At 49.9% G+C, this 23970-nt stretch overlaps 1 protein-coding gene and 1 long non-coding RNA gene across 5 annotated transcripts in view; one reads left to right on the top strand and one right to left on the bottom strand.

Moving 5' to 3' along the window:
- Positions 1-185, bottom strand: part of LOC105376041 (uncharacterized) — a 52879-nt gene extending 52694 nt beyond the window's left edge. For all 3 annotated transcript variants that reach the window (XR_007061486.1, XR_007061487.1, XR_007061485.1), the window contains exon 1: positions 46-185. This is a non-coding gene — a long non-coding RNA (uncharacterized LOC105376041). The remainder of the gene's footprint in view (positions 1-45) is intronic.
- Positions 186-341: 156 nt separating this feature from the next.
- IGFBPL1 (insulin like growth factor binding protein like 1) lies at positions 342-18268 on the top strand. 2 transcript variants are annotated; one of them, NM_001007563.3, is made up of 5 exons: positions 342-831; positions 10593-10702; positions 11443-11559; positions 13247-13405; positions 15579-18268. In NM_001007563.3, the coding sequence occupies exons 1-4, from the start codon at positions 372-374 to the stop codon at positions 13394-13396; spliced, it is 837 nt and encodes a 278-aa protein (NP_001007564.1). In that variant the 5' UTR covers positions 342-371; the 3' UTR covers positions 13397-13405; positions 15579-18268. The 2 variants fall into 2 exon arrangements, with proteins under 2 accessions (NP_001007564.1, XP_016870188.1); XM_017014699.2 differs by lacking the exons at positions 11443-11559; positions 13247-13405; positions 15579-18268 and adding an exon at positions 5616-5697 and having other exon boundaries at positions 10593-10673.
- Positions 18269-23970: the final 5702 nt, after the last annotated feature.

Genomic DNA, 23970 nt, shown 5'->3' with positions numbered 1-23970 from the left:
ATTAAATAAAATAGCGCATCCTTCTGGGAGGATTTACGGGCATACTATCTGGAGCCAGCCTTGGATCCGGAGACCGTACGGTTATCCAATCCTGACTCTGCCATAGCGACCTCGGGCAAGTTGTCGCCCCGACTGGGTCTCGGTTCCCTCAAGAGTCCAATCGGAGGTCGGAGAGCTGCTCTCGGGGCGACCCTCCAGCTCGGAGACCCGGGCCGCGGGCACCGCGCGGGTCCCGGGCTGGAGCAGCGGTCTGCGGGCGCCCCGCGGTGCAGGCCCGGCCAATCAGCGGCCGCGGGGCGGGAGCGGTGACTGCTCGGCGGGCGCGGAGCGGAGCGCGAAGCAGAGGCGCCGCCGCTGTCCCGGAGCAAGCCATGCCGCGCTTGTCTCTGCTCTTGCCGCTGCTGCTTCTGCTGCTGCTGCCGCTGCTGCCGCCGCTGTCCCCGAGCCTTGGGATCCGCGACGTGGGCGGCCGGCGCCCCAAGTGTGGTCCGTGCCGGCCAGAGGGCTGCCCGGCGCCTGCGCCCTGCCCGGCGCCCGGGATCTCGGCGCTCGACGAGTGCGGCTGCTGCGCCCGCTGCCTGGGAGCCGAGGGCGCGAGCTGCGGGGGCCGCGCCGGCGGGCGCTGTGGCCCCGGCCTGGTATGCGCGAGCCAGGCCGCTGGGGCAGCGCCCGAGGGCACCGGGCTCTGCGTGTGCGCGCAGCGCGGCACCGTCTGCGGCTCCGACGGTCGCTCGTACCCCAGCGTCTGCGCGCTGCGCCTGCGCGCTCGGCACACGCCCCGCGCGCACCCCGGTCACCTGCACAAGGCGCGCGACGGCCCTTGCGAGTTCGGTGAGTCAGGGTCGGGGATTGGGTGGGTAGAGAAGGAGGGATTCCAACCCTCTGGGGTGTGGAGCGAAGGATCCCCCTGCCCAGTGGTGGACGGCGCTGCCTGGCACTCAGTTTCCCCTTAGGGAGCAGTATTTCATATCTCTCCTCGTGCTCAGAGAGACTGGGGCGAGAATCCTTGGAGACGCCACTCACTGTGCTAGTCGAATTTTTGGTGAGCCTGCTACCCCTTTTGGTACTTAAGTACCTGCTGATGCAGTCACTTATTTGTAGGCATGGTATGTTTGCCCAGCAGGAGACTGGGAGTTAAGGAGGGGGATCCGAGTTCCCAGGTATCCAGCGCTAGGTGGATTGTTTGAATGGGGAGGAAGGGAAGTTGAGGTTGGGGGAGGAAGGGAAGTAGAGGATAGGGGAGGAAGGGAAGTTGAGGATGCAGGAGGAGGATGAGTTCCAGACTGGGGAATCAGTAGTCACCAGGCCACAGCACCAGAGCACCAGGGCCCCCGGTGTGGGAAGGGGCTGAGCTGGGATGCTGAGGGAGCTCCATCCAGGAGAAGTAAGACCTTTGGAGACGTAAGGTCTGAAAAGATTGTGGTGCTATTAGGGGCAGACTCAGGTTTCGTGCTTCTAAAACATATATAATTTGGAGAGTCCTGCCTTAAGTAAAGGAATAGAACTGCTAGGGACTTAGAAACTTATTATGAAATGCTAGGGACTTAGAAACTTAAGCTTCATTAACATCACAGTAAAATAATCTCTGAGTGCTATAGTTGCCCACCCTCTTTATGTACCTTTTGAAAACCAAACAAAAAGAAACCAAAACGTTAGCACTGCTTTACCGGCTTCCTAAGCATGAGTGTATTCCACCCACTAGGTTTTGAAGTGCCGCTGTGTACTTTGCCTGGAGTGGGCAGTGCTGAGTTTAGGGTGAGTGAGAAGGTGGCCAGTGAGTCCCAAGGAGCCTGGGTTTCGGCCTGGAGTTCAGGCTTCTGGGAAATAATTCTGGCCTGAGCCCAGAGACCAAGTCCAGACTTTAGTGCCTAAGTCAGTGTAATGACTTAGCTTCAAGAAAGAAGCCTGGGGTGGGGTGAGACCTTTCCAAGCCTTAAGAAGTATCTAGTAGTCTTTCCTCTCAAGTAGTTCAGGTAGATGTACCCAAGTCCAGGAGACGCAATGGGTTGTTGGAGATGGGGCAGGAAGCCTCCAGTCCTGGGAAATGTAAAACCAGTGTGTGGCCAGTTGAGCACAGGAAAGTCACCATTGGCTGTTCCTAGCTGAAGCTCCCCATGGAGGACAGAGCTGGCTGGGGGTGCATCTGTGCTGCCGCTGGCTCCCTGAGTGGCCCTGGACGGGTCCCTTCCCCTCTCTGGCCATATCAGCCCCAGTGGAGTCATTGTTGAGGTCCCTTTCACTCGGAACAGTTGGTTTCCGCCCTGTGGCACTTAAACAGTCCTGTCTCTTTCCTTTTGCTAGTTCCTATCACTCGTTTTTATAACTGCTTTCCTCAGCCGTTAATTCACAGGCAATTCTCTTTGTCTCCAGACAGGTAACACTTTTAACTCCACATGCAGGAGACAGAAGAAATGCTGACCAGGTCCTCAGACTATAAATGCTGCTGATGATCTCAGATAATTTCTCCCCAGAGTGGCATTCTCTTCCTAAGAGAAAGGCACCTTAAAGACATTCAGACCAAATCTGCTGTTATACAGAGAAAGAGACTGAGACACAGCAAGGTCAGAGCCCTTGTCCAGGGTGACCAGTAAAGGATGACCAGCTCCCTGGTCCCAACACCCTGTCCAGTGCTCTTTTGGCACAGGACTTAATAGTATTAAGTCAGGCAGATGGTGGTTACCATGGTTACCAGAGTGAGGCCAGATGGCAGATGGAAACTCCATACCCCTAATTCACTGAAAATTACCAAATGACAAGTAAATGTGACAGCCCCTTCACTCTGATCTATGGGATCTGAGGCCCACCCCAGGCACAGACCCAGGGAATAAAGATATTCGTGGGGCCACATGGAAGCAACTCAGAACTGGTTTTCATGATCTCATTACTGACAGGCGTCAGGCCTCCCCGGGGTTCAGCCCTTCTTCCGCACCAGCCTTTGTGTCATCCACCACAGAACCGGGCACTGTTTGCCTGTCACTCTCTGTCCTGAAGTGCTAGTGTGGCCTCTGCCCTTGTGTCCAGATAAAGCATGAAGGTTTGGACAGGGGATGTTTCCTAGCCCAGGCAGCAGCTCATTCTGTGCTGCCCTAAAGCCATCTTTTATTCACAAGACACAGCGGGAGCGTTTTTTAACAATGCCTCTGGGGATCCCGGTTGAAGGAAAACAGACTGTGAGTCAGAGCAGGGCTGTTCTGCTTCAATATTCATGATAAAATCACCCCTCCTGACTCCTTGGGTACCCAAGCACCTAGATTTCATGGAATGAGGCCTCGGGAAGTATTTATTATGTTGTTCACAGTGTGTGAAGGGCCCTTATACATGCCTCTGAGGAGCCTGGGGAAGCAGTTTTCAGGCTTAAATTCTGCCCTTTCCTCCTATGCCCTGAAATGCCCCAAACTGCCACATAATGAGAGTGATCCTTTGATCCGCACACATGTATGGAAGACTCACATATGAATAATTCTTACTGTTGGAAATTGCTTTTGCATCCTTTTTTTTTTTTTTTTTTTTTGAGACAGGGTCTCACTGTATCTCCCAGGTGGAATACAATGGCTTGATCACAGCCCACTGTGATCCTGGGCTCAAGGAATCCTCCTGCCTCAGCCTCCCAAGTAGCTGGGACTATAGGCACATACCATCATGCCCAGCTGATTTTTAGAATTTTTTGTAGAGACAGGATCTTACTGTGTTTCCCAGGCTGTTCTTGAACTCCTGGCCTCAAGCACTCCTCCCACCTCAGCCTCCCAAAGTGCTGAAATTACAGACATGAGATACCATCCCTGGGCTGCACCCATCTTTTTACATGATTTTTACAAGTGTCCTGGGGAGGTCTCCTTCCCATTTGATAGAAGGGAAAGCTGAGGCACATGGAAGGAAATTCCCTGGAGCCACCTGGCTGGTCCCAGCTGTGAAAGGGCTCCAGTGTAGGTTTGCCTGGCTGTTTTGTTTTGTTTTGTTTTGAGACAGAGTCTCACTCTGTCACCCAGGCTGGAGTGCAGTGGTGTGATCTTGGCTCACTGCAAGCTCCACCTCCTGGGTTCACGCCATTCTCCTGCCTCAGCCTCCAGAGTAGCTGGGACTACAGGCGCCCACCACCACGCCTGGCTAATTTTGTTTTTTGTACTTTTAGTAGAGACGGGGTTTCACTGTGTTAGTCAGGATGGTCTTGATCTCCTACCTCATGATCTGCCCGCCTCGGCCTCCCAAAGTGCTGGGATTACAGGCGTGCGCCACCATGCCTGGCCTGCCTCGCTATTTTCAGATGGGCGCTGCACAGCTAGCCGCTAGCAACCTGATCAGTAAGGTGCTGTGCACCCGCCAGCCTTGAATCTTGGGGGTTTCTCAATCTGGGTCCACCTTCCTGTTTTTCCCAAGGTTTGTCACTTGTCCCTCTATTTAGCACTGGGCTATAGCTCCTGAGAGAAGCCTTGAAGGATGGGGAGAGAATCCCAATGCTAGCAAGGGGGAGGCACAGCATGAACTGAGGCTCAGAGGTGGGAGCCCTTTGGTGGGTGTGCAAGTGGGCCCATAGGGCCGAGGCCTGGTAGGATGGTTGGGAAAGGAGATGACACCCCAGAGTAGTTTGGGGTAGGCCACTGCAAGCCTTGGGTGCAAGGCCGAAGGGGGAAGCTTCATTCTGCACTTTGGGAGGCTGAGGTGGAAGGATTGCTTGAGGCCAGGAGTTCAAGGATAGCCTGGGCAACGCAGCAAGATCCCATCTCTACAAAAAATTCTAAAAACTAGCTGGACATGATGGCATGTGCCTGTAGTCCCAGCTACTTGGGAGGCTGAGGCAGGAGGATTTCTTGAGCCCAGGAGTTCGAGGCTACAGTGAGCTATGATCATGCCACTGTACTCCGCCTAGGAGACAGAGTGAGACCCTGTCTAAAAAGAAGAAGAAGAAGGAGGAGGAGGAGGAGGAGGAGGAGGAGGGGGAGGAGGAGAAGGAAGAAGAAGGATGCAAAAGCAATTTCCAACAGTAAGAATTATTCATACGTGGGTCTTCGATACATTCTGAATTATTGGTTCAGCTTCTCACTGGTAAGGTGGTATGGCCTTAGTATTATGATGATTATTATTGCTCTCATTACTTTAAAGGCTGGATAGTTCAGTGTGTGCACCCTATTTGTTAGCATTGGGAGAGGGTTGGGGTCCTACGGACAGCAAGTTAATGTCATGTTTCAAATGATAAATTAGATAGGAACAGGGTCCCGGCCAGCACCCGCCAGGGCATTGAGCCCTGGCAGCTTCGGTGAGCTCCTGAGACCCTGAATCTTAGAAAATTCACCTTGGTTGAAATTCCAGCTCCACTTAGAAACCTAGGTCTGTGCTAGTGTGTGTTACCAGGTAACCAGGAGAGGCAGCGCATGCCACTTCGTGAGAGGGACAAAGAAGGGGGTTTGTGCTCAAAACCCTTTCATGCTGAGGGAGGAGATCTGAGGCAGAGGCTGCAGGGAGCAGGATTAAGCTGTTTCTTGTTCCACATCATAACGTGACTATTAGCATAAATTATCAGGGCTGTTCAGTGTGTTGATTATTAAAATCTTTGGTTATGTGCTTTTTAATACAAGCAGATGGGGTCCTGGGGAATGACTTGATATCCTTTCTTTCCCTAGCACCATTAACTTTAAAGAAATCTCAGAGGGATTTGGGAAGATTTTTTCATTCCAGCCATCAATGATCGATATAATTGACGAGGTAGGGGGACAAATCACCACACACTATAATAATAATATTGATCCCTTTCATTTGTACAGATCCACACAGTTAATAACACAGTCACATCCATTTTCTCCCTTCACCCCAAGGATGCGAGGCTGCGGTCATCATCTTCATTTGCAGATAAAAAGGAAATGATTAGCAACTTGCCCAAGCTCAAGTGGTTGGCAGCGAGACCCCTGGGCATTTGAGTCTCCCTCTGGTACTGTTTTTGCTCACCCCACAGTACTGCCTCCTGTGACCATGTGCATCTGGGTGACTGTCTTACCTGCTGGTTAGCCCTTGGATGGTTGGATTTGTGCAATTCTAGGGCTATTGCTGGCACAAGCAGAAGGAAACAAGTATCAGCAAGGAAGAGCTATAGGGGGATGAAGCTTCCACATTCACAGACTGGGCTAGCTAGAAGCCATCCTCCCTCCTGCAAGCCACATCATTCTTGTGAAAGGCAGGCAGAAAGGAAAGCCCTGGTTCCTCTGGCAGTGTGGCGGCTCTGGCAACAGTAAGAGTATGTGCTTGGCTCCCCAGAGTGAGGGCTGTAGTCATGGTCCCTGGTGCCTCTCACCCAAGGCCAGAGGAGGCTCTCATGCATGCAGGGAGCTTTAGAGGAGATGCCTAAGGACAGCACACCCTGCCTGAGTCCTCAAGTCCCTCTGCAGAGGTCTTTTACAGTTTGTAAGGGGTCTTGCAATTGTTCCTCACAACAGCCTTTGAGGAGTGGGCTGGGAAGGGAATAGATTCCTGTGCCCATTTTAAAGAAGAAGACACTGAGGCCAAGACTGGGACGTGGCAGAGAAAGGATTTGAACCTGGACTCTTCCACCCCTGCCTGCCACGCTGTCCTTCCTGCCTGTGGTGGCAGCCATGACGTTGAGCACTCCAGTGCCATGCTGGAATGAGCCCTTGGGGATAGTAGGGACTAGAAATGTCCTGCTGGTGTCAAGGACACATTGCTCATGTTATGGGTTATCTTCATAAGAGCTGTTCCCTGGGGGTGATGTTTGGGGTGTTTCATTGTTGTATAGAAAACAGCTAACACGGCAGGCCTGCGACCATATCCTCAGAAAGGCCTGCTGGCAAGGTTGGCCTTGGGCTGGTATCTGGGGACTTAGATTTCAGGGGGGTTCCACTCTTCTCAGAATTGATGAGAGTGGCTCACTGTGCCTGAACTGTACAAACAATGTGGTTTATGCTGAACCCCTGCTTTCCTTCTCGGAGTGTGGAATTTGGGTATTCAGTTAGGCAGAGAGTGCCTCTGTGGCCAGCTCCCAGTAAAAACCCTGGGCGCCAAGTCCCTCTTGAGCTTCTCTGGTAGACAGCATTTCACATGCTTGTGACTCCATGGGGAGGGCTCTTGGCATCTTGGGCCTGCTTCCCCAACCCTGACTTTTTCCCTTGGCTGATTTTGCCAGATGGGAAAATCCTTTCACTGTACTAAATCACAGCCTGAGTACCACTAAATGCTGAGTCCTGTGAGTCCTCCTAGTCCTCCTAGGAAATCATTGAACCAGAGAGTTGTCTTGGGGATCCCCCAACACAATCCCTAAGCAACTCATCTCTTATTCTGGATCGGAGACCACACAGATAACAAATGTTCCACTTTAGAAACCAGTGTGGGAGTGAATGGAATCATGGTGCCTGGGTTTGAGTCCCTGTTCCTCTGGGCACTTTACCTTTCTGAGTCTTGGTTTTCTCATCTGTGAAATGGGGATGGAAGCAGCTACCTCACAGGGCTGCCATGAGGATGAAAGGGTGGTGTACGTGGAAGGGTCCTCTAGGGAAAAGGCAGGATGGTGTTAGCACAGTGGTTCAGAAGAGCTTGGGATCTGGAGCCACATCACTGGGCTCACAGCCTCCTCACTACACCCTTTAATGCTCGGTAACCCAGGGCAGCGCCACCATCTGGCAGCTGGTGAGATTGCTGGAGAGATAAACAAGTTAATACCTGTAGGCAGAGGAGTGCTTAGCACACAGCGAGCGCTGTGCTAGCTGATAGCATAATAACAGTGTTATTATTATTGATTATAAAGAGCTACTGTGGATAAAAATATTTTAAATTTAAAATCAGATATGTTAAAATATGTTAAAATTAAAAACAGGGCTGGGAATACAGTGACTCATGCCTGTATTCCCAGAGCTTTGGAAGGCCAAGATGGGAGGATTGTTAGAGGCCAGGAGTTTAAGACCAGCCTGAGCAACATAGCAAGACCCATCTCTACAAAAAAAAAAATTTTTTTTAATTATCTGGGCGTGGTAGTGCATGCCTGTAGTCCCAGCTACTCAAGAGGCTGAGGCAGGAGGATTGCTTGAGCCCTGGAGTTCAAGACTACAGTGAGCTATGATTGTGCCACTTCATTCCAGTCTGAGGATAACATGAGACTCTGCCTCAAAAAAAAAAAAAAAAATTAGAACCGGATTATTATGGCATGAGCAACATGACATTTTTTGAGGTCACAGAACAACTGTTCTGTATCTTGGCTATAGTGGTAATTACATGACTGTATCCATTTGTCAAAACCTAGAACTGCACACCAGAAGGAACGAATTGTGCTTTGTGTAAATTTAAAAATAAATAAATAAATAAATACAAATTTAAATGTCCCTTTAATGTGCTTTGACGTCCCTTTAAAAAGCAGGGCTTCTTTTGTAAAGGAATTTGTATTTTTTGCCACAAAATCAGTTACAAAGTCAGTATTTCCAAGACAGTCTTTCTTAATTGTAGTTGTTAGAGAGACAGACTGAAACATGAGGAGAGAGAGATGAATTGTGATTTATTGGTTTACTCATTTAGGCCTGAAAGGGATTGATGAAATCACATTTAAAATGTATGACTTTACATGAACAAAAGTAAACCAGGCTGATTGAGAGTCCCCTTGGTATCCAGGTCTTTCTGACTGTCACCACAGCGAGCCACTGGAGCACTGGTTTGGGCTTCCCTGGAGGCGGCATCCCAGCGCTTGTGTGGTTGGGGAGGCGCTGGCGGGACAATGTGAATAAATTAGACTGTCTTTGTCATCACAGATGGGGCTCCTGCCGGAGAGCTCAGTGTTGTGGCTCTCTGTGGCTGTCAGGCAACGTTAGACATCTAGGATCTTGGTTCCCGGGGCTTTGGCTACATTCAGGCACATGGGTTGGGCACCACCCTTCAGAGGGCCCTCAGATGGGTACAGCTGAATGAGTGGGTGGATCAGATAGAGGGGGAGGAAAGCAGCCTGGGATGGGGAGGGCAGTCTGTATTCAACTCACTGGTGGGCTGCTGGGACACCCAGGGGCTATGGGGCTCCAGAGGGCAGCCCCAGGATCAACAGGTGGGAGTTACAGGCTTTAGCTCTAGGTGAGGATGCACCTTCTTACCAGTGGAGCCCTCCAAAGACAGAATGGCCTGGCTCCGTAGGTGGTGAGTTCTCCATCCCTGAAGGCATGCAAATGGAGGCTGTGCGAGCATGTCATACGTGGTCAGGCACAGAATCACAGAGAATCAGGATGCTAAAGAGCCTCTCTAGTTTGAGACTGTGGCTCTAAGGCGATTTTCCAGAGATTTTTTGGCACTGGCTTGACAGGGTCTGCTTCCCAGTCTGTCTGGAGGGGCCAAACTAGTCTCCTTTCTGCACCCTGATCCTCCTGAGCATTGGGGTGTGATGCGACGCTGTCCGTCACCTCCTTCCTCCTGCCTTCTGTCTCCTCCCTTTGCTCTCCTTTTGTATTGCAGCCTTATCCAGGTGCAGTCTTGTGGAGAACAACAGGGCTGTCCTTGAGTCACCAGGCAAAGCCCTAGGAGTTCTAGACTCTGCAGTTTGATGGCCTGGAAATGAACATGTTTGTTCCTTGATTTCTCATGTGTTTGTTCATCCAGTCATCCTTTTGCTCCTGGCCCTCACTTGCATATCACATTAACTTACACTTTTCACTCATTCCATGGTTAGATCAGCCTGACCGCCCTAGGAAGCAGGGGTGTGATCCCCACCTTATAGATGACAGCTGGGTGGGAGCATTCCCTGGCCAGGCCTCTACACTGCACGTTGCCCAACACGCTGTGGTGCTGGATGCCAGGGTGGCTGAGTTGCTGTCCAATGCAGGTGAGAGCAGGTAGAAACGCCTGGCCTTGATTATTCCAGCCCAGTGTGAGCAGAGCAGATGCCAGGCATGGGGAGGAAGGCAGAGTGTGGAGTAGGAGTTTGAAACATCTAACACTGGGTCCTGTCCAGGGAGCCCATACCCTCCCTCTCCTCTCCGTCATGTTCTGGCAGTCTAGAACCACATTTCCCTGATTCCCTGATTTGCCCAGGCTTGGGTCGGCTTCTGGGGATGGGGAGGCAGAGGGAGTGGGGGAGCCCTGGGGAGTCTTTACCCTGTGCATGCAAATGGGCATCTTGAATGGACCGCAGGGGATTGAGCTCCAGGGTGTGTGCAGCTGTTCTTCCTGGCATTCTTCTTCCTAACACCCTCCACGTGGAAGGAGAAAAGCCCATCTGTTAGAAGACTCTGCCGTTGGTGGCGTGACACCAGCCCCTCTAGGAGTCGGCTGCCGTTTTTCCTGGTTGAGCTATAGCAGATGGCAGCCGGAGCCTGGAACGGACCCTGGGAGGGAGCACTGAGGCCCAAGCTCTGCCACAGATGGTGCTGGGGGAATTTGGGAAGTTGCCCTTCCCCTCTGGACCCCTGCTTTCCCATTGGTAAAACAATCATTGGATCAGGAGATCGGTCGGCAGCTTTCCAGGTCTGAGGAAATCTCTCTTTTAGGATTCCTGCCCAAGCGTGATGTGCCGCTCCCCTCATGTCAGGACATCACAGCGGGCTCTCCGCGGCAGGGGAATTTAGAGGTGGGTTGCTTGGAACCCTGCAGGGTAAAGGCTGCGTCTCCTTGTCTCCTCCTCCTAGCTCCTGTGGTCGTCGTTCCTCCCCGAAGTGTTCACAACGTCACCGGGGCGCAGGTGGGCCTGTCCTGTGAAGTGAGGGCTGTGCCTACCCCAGTCATCACGTGGAGAAAGGTATTTCTGTCCAAGAACTCATGCATCTCGTGTGTGTGTGTGTGTGTGTGTGTGTGTGTGAGAAAGAGGGAGAAACAGACGTGAGTGGTAAAAATGTTTTTCTTTTAAGTGTGTTTATATATATATGCCTTTATAGGTGGGCCAGAGGATGAAGAAAAGATATCATCTGTACCACTCCTCTGCCTCGAAACTTCTACCCCAAACCTCTCCCCTTGGAAGGGAACATTGCAACCCTTCCTGTGCCACTTACACCCTTGGCCACTTAGGGACCCAGAAAGCTGTGCTTTTACCCAGTCTGCTTCAGCTGCGGTGGCCATGTGTGTGTGTATCCTGCTTCACTTCGGGGCTGTGTTTCAGACAGACCTGGCTGGTGGCAGAAGACTCAGTCCTATTCCAAAACCAAATCTTCTAAAGACCAGTTTTTGAGAGACCGGCAAGGATCACAGCGAATGTTGTCCCCTTAATGTCAATAGCCCTGAGACAGGCGTTGAAATTCTGAATCTTTCTGTGGGATGGTGGTGATGTTCGGGTCTTTGCTGTCTGGCAGAGCGTGCTGTCTATATGTACAAGTAGGTTTAAAAAATGACTGATGTCATTTGCATAGGCATGAGCAGTGCTAGGGTTTCCGTTTTTGAGTCAGTGGGAGGAGGAGGAAGGAGGAGGGCAAGGAAGCCTATGGGATGGTCTTTATCCAGAATTGCTTTTTCTAAGCCCCCTCCTGGCATTCCTGTCCCCTGTAGGTCACGAAGTCCCCTGAGGGCACCCAAGCACTGGAGGAGCTGCCTGGGGACCATGTCAATATAGCTGTCCAAGTGCGAGGGGGCCCTTCTGACCATGAGGCCACGGCCTGGATTTTGGTGAGTGTTTAGGATTATTGGATATTATTGACTGACCATTATAAACCATCCTTTATATTTCTACAACACATTACATGTTTCAAAGCTGTTCTTACCCATTTCTCACTGGCCCCTCCAGTAACTGTGAGGCAGGCAGGGCAGGTTTCAGATCTGCTGGGAACATACGTGTTCTGCTGCCAGGGGCAGAGTGATGGCCCCACAGTGATGTCCACCACGTCCTCACCCCCAGAACCGTACGATGTTACATGGCAAGGTGGTGGGAGGGAGGTTGTGGTTGCTAAACAGCTGAGATAAGGAGATTTAAGATAAGGAGATTAGCCTGGATTATCCGGGTGGGCCAATTTAAAGGTGGGTCTTTAAGTGTGGAAGAGGGAAACAGAAGAGTCAGAGGCAGACTGAAGTGATTCGATGTGAGGAGGACTTGACCCACCATTTCTGGCTTTGATGATGTTGGAAAGGGCCACAGCCAAGGAGTGCCAGCATCCACTAGGAACTGGAGAAGGCAAGAAAATGAGTCTCCTGAGAGCCTTCAGAAAGAATGCAGCCCTGCCGGCACCTTGATCTTAGCCCCCTTTGGGCCTCTGACCTCCAAAACTGTAGAAAAGAAATGTGTTTGTTTTAAGGCACTCAGCTTGTGGCGATTTGTTACAGCAGCCCAAGGAACTAGTACACCTGCCTAAGGTCACCCGCTGGTAAAGGTAGAAGGTGGCACATTCGAGTCCTCCTCCAGAGCTCTTTCCTGCCACTCGCAGCACTTTTACCAAGATGAAGAATGCCACATGTTTGAAAGAGTGATGGAATGAGGAGATAGGGGTCCATGTTGGGTCGTCACTGTACCCTTCTGAGCCTCCATTTCCACTGTTGTTGAAAGAGGGCTTCAAACTGAAAGACCTCTGAGGGCCTTTGTGGCCCTGGCAGTCTGTGATTTACCTGTGAGTCTCCTGTAAAAAGAAGACCATAATGCTCACCCTTCCCCCACGACTGGCATGAGTTTAAAACGAGCTGATGTGCGTACACCAGCGCGTGGTCGGTAGGATGATTTGTAATTGATGGAAGCGGTTGGTTGTAACGAGAAAGCAAAAAAGACGCGAGCTGGTTATGGACCTGGCTGTGAACATCCTTGGGGTGCTCCCTAAGGACAACCTCCTCATTCCACCCACAGCTCTGGGAGGCTTGGTGACTCTTCTCCACCCAGCTGAGAGATTGGGAATGCAATTGGCTGTGCGGTTTTTTCAAATCAAGCACATTCCTCTATTTTCTTAGGAGAAAAGACAGGGAAAAGAGGTTATCTCTGGTGGTATTTTGTAGAGGCTGCCCCTATAGGGAATACTTTCTGGATCATTCTTTGGTCAGTAGATTTTTGTTCTTCTTTTAACTTGAGGTGTTTTCCAAATAACCTATACCTTGCACCTTTAATACAAAAGACCAGGTAGCTCACAGTAAAAGGCAGGTGTGCGGAGGAATCATTCAGATGAGAGCCACAATAGGGAGCGTGCCTTTCAAGAGGGTCCCTGGGAAGGAAATTTACCTGCGTGCTCCTTGGCAGCCAATGCAAGGAGAGAAATAGAGCAAGTTTTACCTTATTCTGAAAAGGAGGAAGTGTGCAGACTTATCATTAAGAACTAACTAAGGAAGTCATTTTGCTGTTCCTTATATAACTGTATAAACTTGCCTGTTGTATTTCTAGATCAACCCCCTGCGAAAGGAGGATGAGGGTGTGTACCAGTGCCATGCAGCCAACATGGTGGGAGAGGCTGAGTCCCACAGCACAGTGACGGTTCTAGATCTGAGTAAATACAGGAGCTTCCACTTCCCAGCTCCCGATGACCGCATGTGATGGAGAAATGTACATGTTCTAAGTCATTTTCAGTATTTTACACCCATGTTATGAGATATTTGAGGTGGCTTATAAGACCTGTAAAAAAAAGAAGAAAAATACGTAAATGGAGGAAACCAGGGAAAGAGCAAAAGAAGAGTAGGGACATACTTAGATGAGCAGTAGAATCCCTGGTATATTCTGCACACATCTCCCTCTGAGCTTCTTAGCATGCAAAGACAAGAGCTGTGAACATGATGTGTGTCCATGAGATGAAAAGACCAGTTGTGTTTTGGGGCTGGAGGGAATATTTCCTCTGTATTCTTCTAGAAAGAGCACTGAGAGAGGTAGCAGACAGTGTCATTGTGACAGCGTCCATGTGAAAATGTTCCCACAAAGAAGATGCCTGAGCTTCCTTTGTGTGTTCCTGGAGCTCTTCCTTGTTCAGGACACCTGAGCTTCCTTCCTGGGGCTCAGGCCTTGCCTTCCTGTCCTCAGCACTGTGTGCTGCTTTGCAACACATCTCCTTGTGGGTAGGGGCAGAGAGAATCTCTGCATCCCCTCTGGTCAAGGCCTCCTAGTCTGTAGTCACACAGGTGACAGCTGGGGTTGCATCTGTTCCTTGCCTACAGGTGAACTGGGAATTCGGGAAAGGGATCACTTTATAAGCCAGCTTTTGCTCATAAAAATCCCAAAATCTTGCTGGTTCACAGCCACAGACGTTGATCACTTGCTCATGTTCCATGTTATAGCTGTGAGCTGGCTGTGGCCCTGCCCCATGTGTCCCCTCATTCAGGACCCAGCTGGAGGAACAGCTCCAGTGTGGAACATGTCCGTTCTGTGGCCAGGCTGCACACACCATTGCATTTAAAGTTTCTGCTCGGATGTGATGTGTGCCCCGCCCATTTACAGACCAATCATTTTTTTTTTTTTTTTTTGAGACAGAGTCTCACTCTGTCACCCAGGCTGGAGTGCAGTGGTGCGATCTCGGCTCACTGCAAGCTCTGCCTCCTGGGTTCACGCCACTCTCCTGCCTCAGCCTCCCGAGTAGCTGGGACTACAGGCACCCGCCACCACACCTGGCTAATTTTTTTGTATTTTTAGTAGAGACGGGGTTTCACCGTGTTAGCCAGGATGGTCTTGATCTCCCGACTTCATGATCCGCCCGCCTTGGCATCCCAAAGTACTGGGATTACAGGCGTGAGCCACCGTGCCTGGCCTGCACGATCCTCTTACAGGAATGGGGGAGCAGTGGTGAACAGGCACCATTACCAAGGCTGATCAACAGGTGCTTAATAGAACAGGAAAAATTAGAAACAAGTCTGATAGGGTTTCTCAAAAGCAGGGGGATTTTGCCATGGTTTTAGTTATATTATTCTTTCAGCCACTACTGTTGCACACCTTCTGTGTGCAAGGCCTTACTTCTGGTCTGTAGGGGATCACAGAAAAACAAAAAGTGGACATAATTATAATACAAGGAGTGCGATGTAAGGGAATGGGAGGAGATATTAAGGCATGAAAAGCAGCTTAGAACTGGGGAAAATGAAGGAAGAATCATCGAGGAGGTGGCATGAGGATTGAAGGATGGGTGTACGTGAGTAGTTAGAGGCCCTAGAAATGGGGAGAAAAATATGAAAATGTAAAACTGTGAAATAGGAATTCAACAAAGAGTTAGGAGATTGGGTCTTAAAATTGTCTTCCTGATGATATGTGACTTGTTTTATATAGATATGTTTCCAGTTTTAAATATATATATCTATAATTTTCAAATACACGTATATTTTGAGGCAGAAATGATTCTGGGTTGTGAATACATCAAAAGGATACCATGAAAAATTGTGGAATTTTAAGAGCATCACTGCTGCCTAGGTCTTGAGTTCCTTCTGTGACACACAGTATTGCCAGCTCTGGCTTACATACCTCCAGGGATACAGAGCTCACTACCACTGAGAGCCATCTGTGGATTTTCCAATGGTTGAAAAGATCTTATTAAGCTGGAGTCTGCTGCTTTGAAACGTCCACCTTTTGGTCTTAAAAGTACTTCTTGGGACTCCACAGGGCCCTTCACTCTCCACTGGCACCATTTCCTGCTGGGGAGAGATTCGAAGTGAAGGATCATTTCCCCCACCTTCCATGTAACACATAGTTGATTGTAACGGAGCAGGCTTACGTTCTCTAATTCTTTCTCTCCTTTTCTTCCTAGGGTCTTAGAAACATTGATCATGGGATGATGGAAAAGTCAAATAACGGATCTTTGTGCTTCATGAAGAGTTGGAAAACCTGTGTGTGTAGATGACCCCTTTTGTGTGTTTTTAAAAATTAGATGCAAACTAGATCTGTATGCAGATGTAGTTTTTAGCAGGGCAAACAGTGAGAAACGGATTTGCATGTGGCTTTTTTATACTTTTGAAATGAATTGTTCCATGAGAAGTCTTTTTGTAATTATTCTCTTCCAGGGAGATCACAGAACGGCATGTTTGCAATTTCGAAAGGGCTCGTGTCAGCTGTGACTCTTTACCTCATTTGTCTATGACCTATTAGTGGTGCTCTGTGACTTAGTGTGTGTTGTAGAAGGAGGGATGAGGGTCCCAGCTGTCCTCTGCCTGACTGTAACTTGCTGTGTGACCTGAACAGATCCCTTCCCCTCTCTGGGCCCTGGTCCCTTCATCTGTGAGTATGGCATTTTAACTGGATGTTATCAATGTCCCTTTTAGCCCTGCCATCCTAGATTAAGATGGCCTTTTGGGAAAATAACAGGAAGTGTGGTCTTAGTGTTCTTTCTAAAATGGTATTCCCTCAGAAACAAATTCCATTGCTTTACCCCAACGTGTGGACAGCTGGCTGTAGCTCTTCTATTCCTAACTTTTTCCCTTTGAAGGAGATTTAGTTTTAGGTGGGATGCTTTACCAGACTCAGGAGCGCCTTGGCTGGGTCTTTGGAGACCAGAGCATCCATTTGTTAGCCTAGCATTCTCTTTTTTAAAATTTTATTTTGAGACAGGGTCTCGCTCTATCACCCAGGCTGGAGTGCAGTGGCGTGATCATGGCTCACTGCAACCTCCACTTTCTGGGCTCGAGTGATCGTTCCACCTCAGCCTCCTGAGTAGCTGGGACCACAGGCATGCCCCACCACACCCAGCTATTTTTTTTTTTTTTTTTTTTTTTTTTGTAGAGACAGGGTCTCCCTATGTTGCCGCCCAGGCTGGTCTCAAATTCCTATGCTCAAATGATCCTCCTGCCTTGGCCTCCCAAAGTGCTGGGATTATAGGCATCAGCCACTGTGCTTGGCCTAGCCTAGCATTCTCTAAACAGGTGGTTAGAAGCGGTGGATACCAGGCTTCTGACGATCAAATTGTAAAAAAAGGGGTCAGGTGTTATCTCCAGACTGTGGAATTAGATTGTAGTAGAATATATTTTACCTACAAACATTTTGACCTCACCCAAGAGTAAGGCTCTCTTTTTTTTCTTTTTTAATGAAAAAAGAAAGGAGAATATTTGCTATCTTATCTTAAAAAAATAGATCCTTAGGTGATTACAATTTTAAAATAAGAATTGAGAGCCCTTACTATGCACAGTCCTTTAAGTTCATAAAGCTTGATCCCAACTCTGGGAGATGGGGCAGGACAGGTGTTAATGTCCCTGCCTTTAGCAGATGAAGAAACCAGGCTCTGAGAGGAGAAGCTACTTGCCCAAGGCCTGAAGGCCTCTGAAAGAGGAGCAGAGCTCAGGGCACCTGGCCCTCCTTGGTCCCCTCTCTACTCCACGGTGCTGCTACTCAGGGTCATCTCAAAACTATGTAAAGGCAGATGTTGCCAATCCACAGGCTTCAGGGACTCTTATCAAGACTCATCCCAACTTTTAAGGCACACTTTCACACCGCTCACATTGTGCATTACATTTTGGAGTCCTTGTTGGAAGTGAACTTTCCGCCTGTAAGCCTGCCATTCCATGTCTAATATATTGGGATGGCATCACCTTCTGTACTATGCAGCAGAAGGAGACTGGCCTGGGATTCTGGAAACATGAGATCCATTTGCATATTAATCCCCGGCTCGCTGTGTGACCCTGAGCAAGTCTCCTTCACTTTCTGTGCCTCAGTGTCCTTATTTGAGTAAAAAGGGAATAAAACTAGATGAGTGGTTTTCAAACTTTAAAACACTGGAAGCTCTCTTTGAAAACAAAAGATGAGAATTGAAATGGATGGCACTGGAAGCTGTTCTTGTCTACTGGGGTTTGGAGCTGCCAGGGGACCTGCTCACATCCACTCCTCACTCAGCCCCTCCCGCCCCTCCCTTCTCCACGCACTGTGACTGACTTCCATGTGTGAAGGCCTGCAGTTAATTCTCCTGTGTCTTGAATGGTTGGGAGATGAGTTGGTCAGACCCTTAGTGAAATGATGTGGGAAGGAACAGGAATGCTGTGGCTCTGAAGAAGGTAGTAGAACATCCCACACCTGCTAATAAGCACATTTTGCAAACTCAGTTGACTCACCTCAGATTTGCCTAGTGAAAACTGAAGGGCTGGATGTAGACCCAGAGAGCAGGGTGGACAGAGCCCATGCTGGAAGTACTGAGCATCAGGACTGTATGGGGCTGGCTTTAGCATCATCATTCTGTGCAAAGACAAATAATTAATGTCACACTGTCTGAAATTTTCACCAAAACCAAAAAGGCGCATTAACATGATTGTTCCAACCTCATGGTTTTTCAAGTGTGAGCGCCCAGAGACCTCTTCAGAGGCTAAGAGAGCATGCGCTGCCACAGCTGTTAGCATTTGGAGACGTAATTACAATGCCCCCACTCCCCGCACCAAACCTGGGTTTTTCTACCGTTTTTGTAGATGTCATGATGTCACGACCCCTGCACCCTGAAAAAAATAAATGTTTTTAAGGACAGTCTTTGTGGTGTCTTTGTTGTAGGAATGCTGTATAGGTGGGTGCAGGTCCCACTGGTATTCCTTTATCATCCCTCATGCCTCCTGTCCTTCCTTCTGCATGCCCACTTCAGCTACTTAGTCTAGATCCTCCTTACCTCCCACGCCTGGTTGCGATCGCAGCCCCACCGTTCACCTTGCCCGAAATTTTTAACCAGCCCTAATCATCTTACACTACTGCCCTTGACTATGTGTGTCCTGCCGTGTACGCATTCTAGTACTTAATTCACTTGCTGAGATAGTGCTCTGTCCCCTCCCACACACACAGTAGCATTCTCCAGGTGCCAGACAGGTACAAGATGCCGAAAGTCATATGTTTGGAATCATCTGGATTCCTCCCATATGAAAGTAGGTAGAATCAGGTCCTGAACTCAGACTCCAGTGGAGACATGGGTGGGATGAGGTCACCATCCCTGGCAGCATATGGTGTCTGCTTTGTGGTTAGAGCAGAGGGAGATCAAGGAAGACTTCCCAGAAGAGGAGGCAGGCATTTGAACTGGCAGGAGTGGGTGTGGGGGATTCCAGGCTAAGGAAACAGCATGCAAAAAGGAGTCGGGGTAGAAAAATGCAGTGTAGTTTGTGAACAGGGAGGAATGGCCAGTTGCTGCTGCTCAGAGCTATGGTGGTGGGCGGGTAGTAGTTTGGGGCAACACCCCTCAATGCAGACAGAGGAGGTTGAACTTGTTGCCGTAAGCAGTGGACAGACTGAATCTCTGTCTCTGTTGTCAGCTGGGCTTGAGGAAGACAATTCCACAGCCCATGTTCAATCCCAAATGTATCTGCTTTCCCCCTTAAACACAAATAAGGCTAGTTTTTAGTTAAGGTGGATTTTTTTTTCTTTCAGGTTTTATGGTGAAATTAATTCCAACATCTTTAAAAACACTGTCCTGCCCTCTCCTCCAGGGACGGATGGTGCAGGAGAAATGAATAAGAACGGCAGATCCAGCGACAGTAAAAGTCTCCGCTAATGAATTTCCTCCTTCCCAGCCTTTACGAGGGCTTCTTGAACATTACATCAGACAATGATTATTCCATGATATTTTAATTAATTAAGGGAAAGCCAGGTGCTCTGGTGTCTCAGTTTAATGAATTCAGAACGTGGAAGCCCAGTGCCCAGGGCTGAGATGGACACCAACACTTGCCCACGCTCTGGCTCTCTGGGGCTGACCGCTCTCCTGGAACGTGAACTCGTTTACGGCCAGGGCTCCTTTTCAGTTCAGCCTCGATTGCATCCAGCAGTGAGAAGTGCGTGGGTCCAAGGAGGCAGACTTCCCTGTGTTGACTTTCACTGTGGCTGTCTCTTCCTCATGCCTACATCTCCCCTCCTATATTAGGGAACGGTTGATTCTCGAGGGAAGAGTAAAAATCCTGAGTACTAGGGAGTGGGGGAACAGTCTCCCCTCTTTTCTCCATGCATAAACCCACCCATCACACATTTGCAGAGCTCCTCCAGTGCACCAGGCATCGCCAGGTAGCAAAGGGTCTACAATTGCCCACAGACCTCGGAGTCTCAGCTCCGGCACAGAAGGCTGCTTGTGGTGCCAAGTGGCATGCCCCGTCTCTCTGCTGTTGAAGGTGTATGCAGCTCTTGCTTGGGTGGAAAGGGCACTAGCTTTAGAGTTGGAAGACCCAGAACTAAGGTCAAGCCTTGTCAGAGATTGCAAGGCTGGGTCACTTTCATCAACTCTTAGAGTTTCCATTTCCTCTTCAATCCAGGAAGGGTGGCATCCCTGCCCTGGCCTGTTGCTCTGAGAGCCCCATGTGTGAATGGCCATGCACTGTCTGTTCTGCACAGATCTTGGAGGGCTGTGTGCCGGTGGGAGAGGGCTGGGAGATAAATCAAACATGCTCAGAGTATGTGAGACATAGTCTAGCAGGACAAAAACATTAGACCCGTTTCAACCAACGAGAGCTGCCTCAGTACAAGACTAAATGAAGGGTGCCCAGAGACCTCTTCAGAGGCTAAGAGAGCATGTGCTGCCACAGCTGTTAGCGCAAAAGGTTAGCTCAAAGGGTGAGATTGCTTAAATGAGAAGTTCAGAGGAACTGTCCTGGAGGGGGTGGCCCTTAAGTAGGGCTCCAAGAAAAAGGAACAGTGTGAGCACGGCTGGATGGGAGGCAGCAAATGACCCACGAGAGCATTAAACTCAAAAAACATCCTTGTGAGAAGCAGTCTCCTGTTGGCATATCTCCACGGACGTGCCATGGGCGGCAGAGCTGGGGCGAACTGCCAGCAAAACCGAGGGTCTTCCACAGTGTTGAACTGTCCTGTCACAGACTATACTTCCCGTCTCCTCTTGCACCTAGGCTGGGTCATGTAGCTAGTGAAATGTGAGTAGAGGCGATGTGTTCCATGCAGAGCCCAGGGCTCTCAAAAAGTCACTGTGCCTTTTCTGCACTTTCTTCCCCATTTACCAGCTGACACGGAGATCTCTGAGGCCCCAGACAGGGGTTTTCACTTGGATCCCTGGACCCCTTGGGATTCTATAGGTAGATTCACAGATTCTGTGAACTCCTTGAAAGTGTGCAAACTGTGTGCATGTGCGTGTACATCCTTTTCATGGTGAAAAGGTCTATTGCTTTGATTAGCTTTTCAAAGGAACGCAAAACATAAAAATGGTTAAGAACAGGCCAGGTGCGGTGGCTCATGCCTGTAATCCCAGCACTTTGGGAGGCCGAGGCCGGCAGATCACCTGAGGTCAGGAGTTCGAGACCAGCCTGGCCAACATGGTGAAACTGTGTCTCTACTAAAAATACAAAAATTAGTCGGGCATGGTGGTAGGCACCTGTAATCCCAGCTACTCGGGAGACTGAGGCAGGGGGAATTGCTTGAACCCAGGAAGCAGAGGTTGCAGTGAACCGAGATCGCGCCACTGTACTCCAGCCTGGGCAACAGAGCAAAGGCTCCGTCTCAAAAAAAAAAAAAAAAAAAAGGTTAAGAACCGTTGTACATGGTGGAACCACAAGACGAAAGGAACCGGTGTCCCTGAATCTCCATGTGGAAGGAAAATACCAATTTGCCAGGTACCTGCATTAGACTGTTACATAAGCAAAACTAAATAGTCGTCGTATTGAACCCTCAAATTTGGGGGGTTATTTGTTGTGGCGGCTAACATTATGCCAGTACACATGGGAAGAACGCTTGGCTGGGAGCAACTTGTCCAAGTTGCTCTGTCCACATTTCTGGCTAAGTGAGGTGGGATGCACCAGAGGCTCTCAAAGGGCCTCATACCAGGACTTCTTGCTTTCCCTTGAGGGTCTTCCTAACTCCAGGACTAATGTACAGATCATTGGCGCTTGGGAGGATTAAGTGACACTCTCAACCCAGGTTTTCTGGCTTCTGTGCCCAACTCCACCACCTGCTCTTACCAAGGTCTACAGGGAGTCCTGGTGGCTGCAGCCAGGGACATTGCTCAGTGCTCCTCCTACTTGACCTCTTGGGAGCCTCAGGCTTTGCTGGGGGCTCCCTCCCCCGGAAAGTACCCCGCCTTCCTTGGCTTCTTGCCTCATCTCTCCTGGGTCTTCCTCCTGCTCCTCCTCATTCTCTGTTCACTCCTTGTTGGCATTCTTAAGGTCAAATGATTTTGCTCCCCTTACAAACTGTTCTCAACATAGCGGCCCCAGTGATCCTTTTAAAACAAGTCATATCATGTTGCCGCTGTGCCCAAAAGCCTCTGGTGGCTCCTTCCTCAGAGTAAAGGCCCCCGTCAGTCCATCCACACGGTGACCTCCAAACACCAGCCCTCTGCCCCCCTCAGGCTGTGACTTCTCTGTCCTATTTCCCCACCTGGCTTGCTCCATGCCAGCCACCTGGCCTTCTCCTGTGTTCCTGGAGCCTCCAGGCATGCTCCAGTCTCTTGGTGAGACGACCTCTGAGCACCTTACTGAAAATTACAATGTCTACTCCATCCCACCCACTTCCCTATTCCCTTCCCAGCACTGTTGTTCTCTATAATACCCTTCACCTCCTGACAGACTAACGATTTCACCTGTTTTGCATATGGTCTGCCTCTTCTATCAGAAAGGATGTTCAGGATTTTATTTTTTTTTTAGTTTCCTGCTGTATCCTCTGCCCCTAGAATAGTTCCTAGCACATAGACAACATTCCATAAAATGTGTTAAACAAAGGAATACATAAGTAAGAGTCCCACCGTGTCCCTAAACGTGCAACCTCCAGGGTGGTTGCAGTGGCTGGCACTACCCCCCACGTGGTTACTGCAGCCAGAAACATGAGGTTACCCAACTTTCTCTCCTCTCTTGTGCCAAGTTGTCCATCTGTCATCATGCCCTGAAGCCTGCCTTCTGGCTGTCCAGACTCTGCCCCCACCCCACACCCTGGTGTGCCAGCATCACTTTGGGCGCAAGCAACAATGTCCTGAGAGGTGCTGACTCCAGGTCAACTCCCTCAATCTATCCTCCACATTGAAGCAGAGCCAGCTTCAGAAACCGAATGTGATCCTATCACTTTCCTTTAAAAGCCCTCGGGGGCAGCCAGACATGGTGGCTCACACCTGTAATCTCAGCACTTTGGGTGGCTGAGGCAGGAGGATTGCTTGAGGCCAGGAGTTCAAGACCAGCCTGGGCTACACAGCGAGATGTCCCCCATCTCTACAAAATGTTAAAAAAGTTAACCCAGCATGATGGCACACACCTGTAGTCCCAGTTACTTGGGAGGCTCAGGTGGGAGGATCGCTTGAGCCCAGGAGTTTGAAGCTGTAGTGAGCTATGATCAAGCAACTGTGCTCCAGCCTGTGTGGCAGAGGGAGACCCTGTTTAAAAAACAAAAGCAAAACCAAAAAGCACCCTCCCATTGCTAGACCAAGTGTGAGCTTTCTGAAAGGATGCACGAGCCCCTTCACAGTCCAGCCCCTGCCTGCCCCCTGCCCCCATGCTTTTCCTCCCTGCCTCTTTCCTCCTCATGGAAAAACTTGCCCTTCCTCCAACCCTCCATATTTCTCAGACTCCAGGAGCATCCTTCCCTTATCCCTCTGGTCCCCTGCTAGTCATTTAGCAGGACCCCATGCCCACTCCCACTGGGCCTGTGCCTGAACTGAGCTGGGAGCCCTGGGAGGCAGCGGTGTCTGGCAGAATCAGAGGACCTGAGCTTGAGCCTGTCTCCACTCACTGCTGAACACCTCCCAGGCTTGATGTCTATCAAGTGCAGAAGAATAATACTGAGGGCCCTGATGGCAGTTAGAAAGTGAAACCCTGTCTCTACTAAAACTACAAAAATTAGCCGGACGTGGTGGTGTCTGCTTGTAATCCCAGCTACTCAGGAGGCACCCAGGAGGCAGAGGTTGCAGTGAGCCAAGATTGCGCCACTGCACTCCAGCCTGGTAGACAGAGCGAGACTCCATCACGAAATTAAAAAAAAGAAAGAAGCATGAAGGGAGGTGGCCCACCGTGTGTGCTTGATACAGAGGCTTGCTTTCCGCTCATGATCTCACGGCCTCTGTGCTTCTCACTGCACTGTCCACCCGGCTCTGTAATTGTCTCCCCTGCCCAACTGTGAGCTCCTGCAGGGAAGGGACTGTCTTACTCAATTCTCTTTCCCCCAACAATAGGCCTAGAGCAGGACCATCGCCCCCCACCCAACCCCTTTGTTTTTTCTTAAACCAAAGAGTTACTTGTGTGAATTAATGAATCAGGTGGCCACCAGAGGTC

Source organism: Homo sapiens, chromosome 9 (genome assembly GCF_000001405.40).
Source record: "Homo sapiens chromosome 9, GRCh38.p14 Primary Assembly".
Classification (NCBI taxonomy): domain Eukaryota; kingdom Metazoa; phylum Chordata; class Mammalia; order Primates; family Hominidae; genus Homo; species Homo sapiens.
This window is presented reverse-complemented; position numbering and strand designations above follow the sequence as displayed.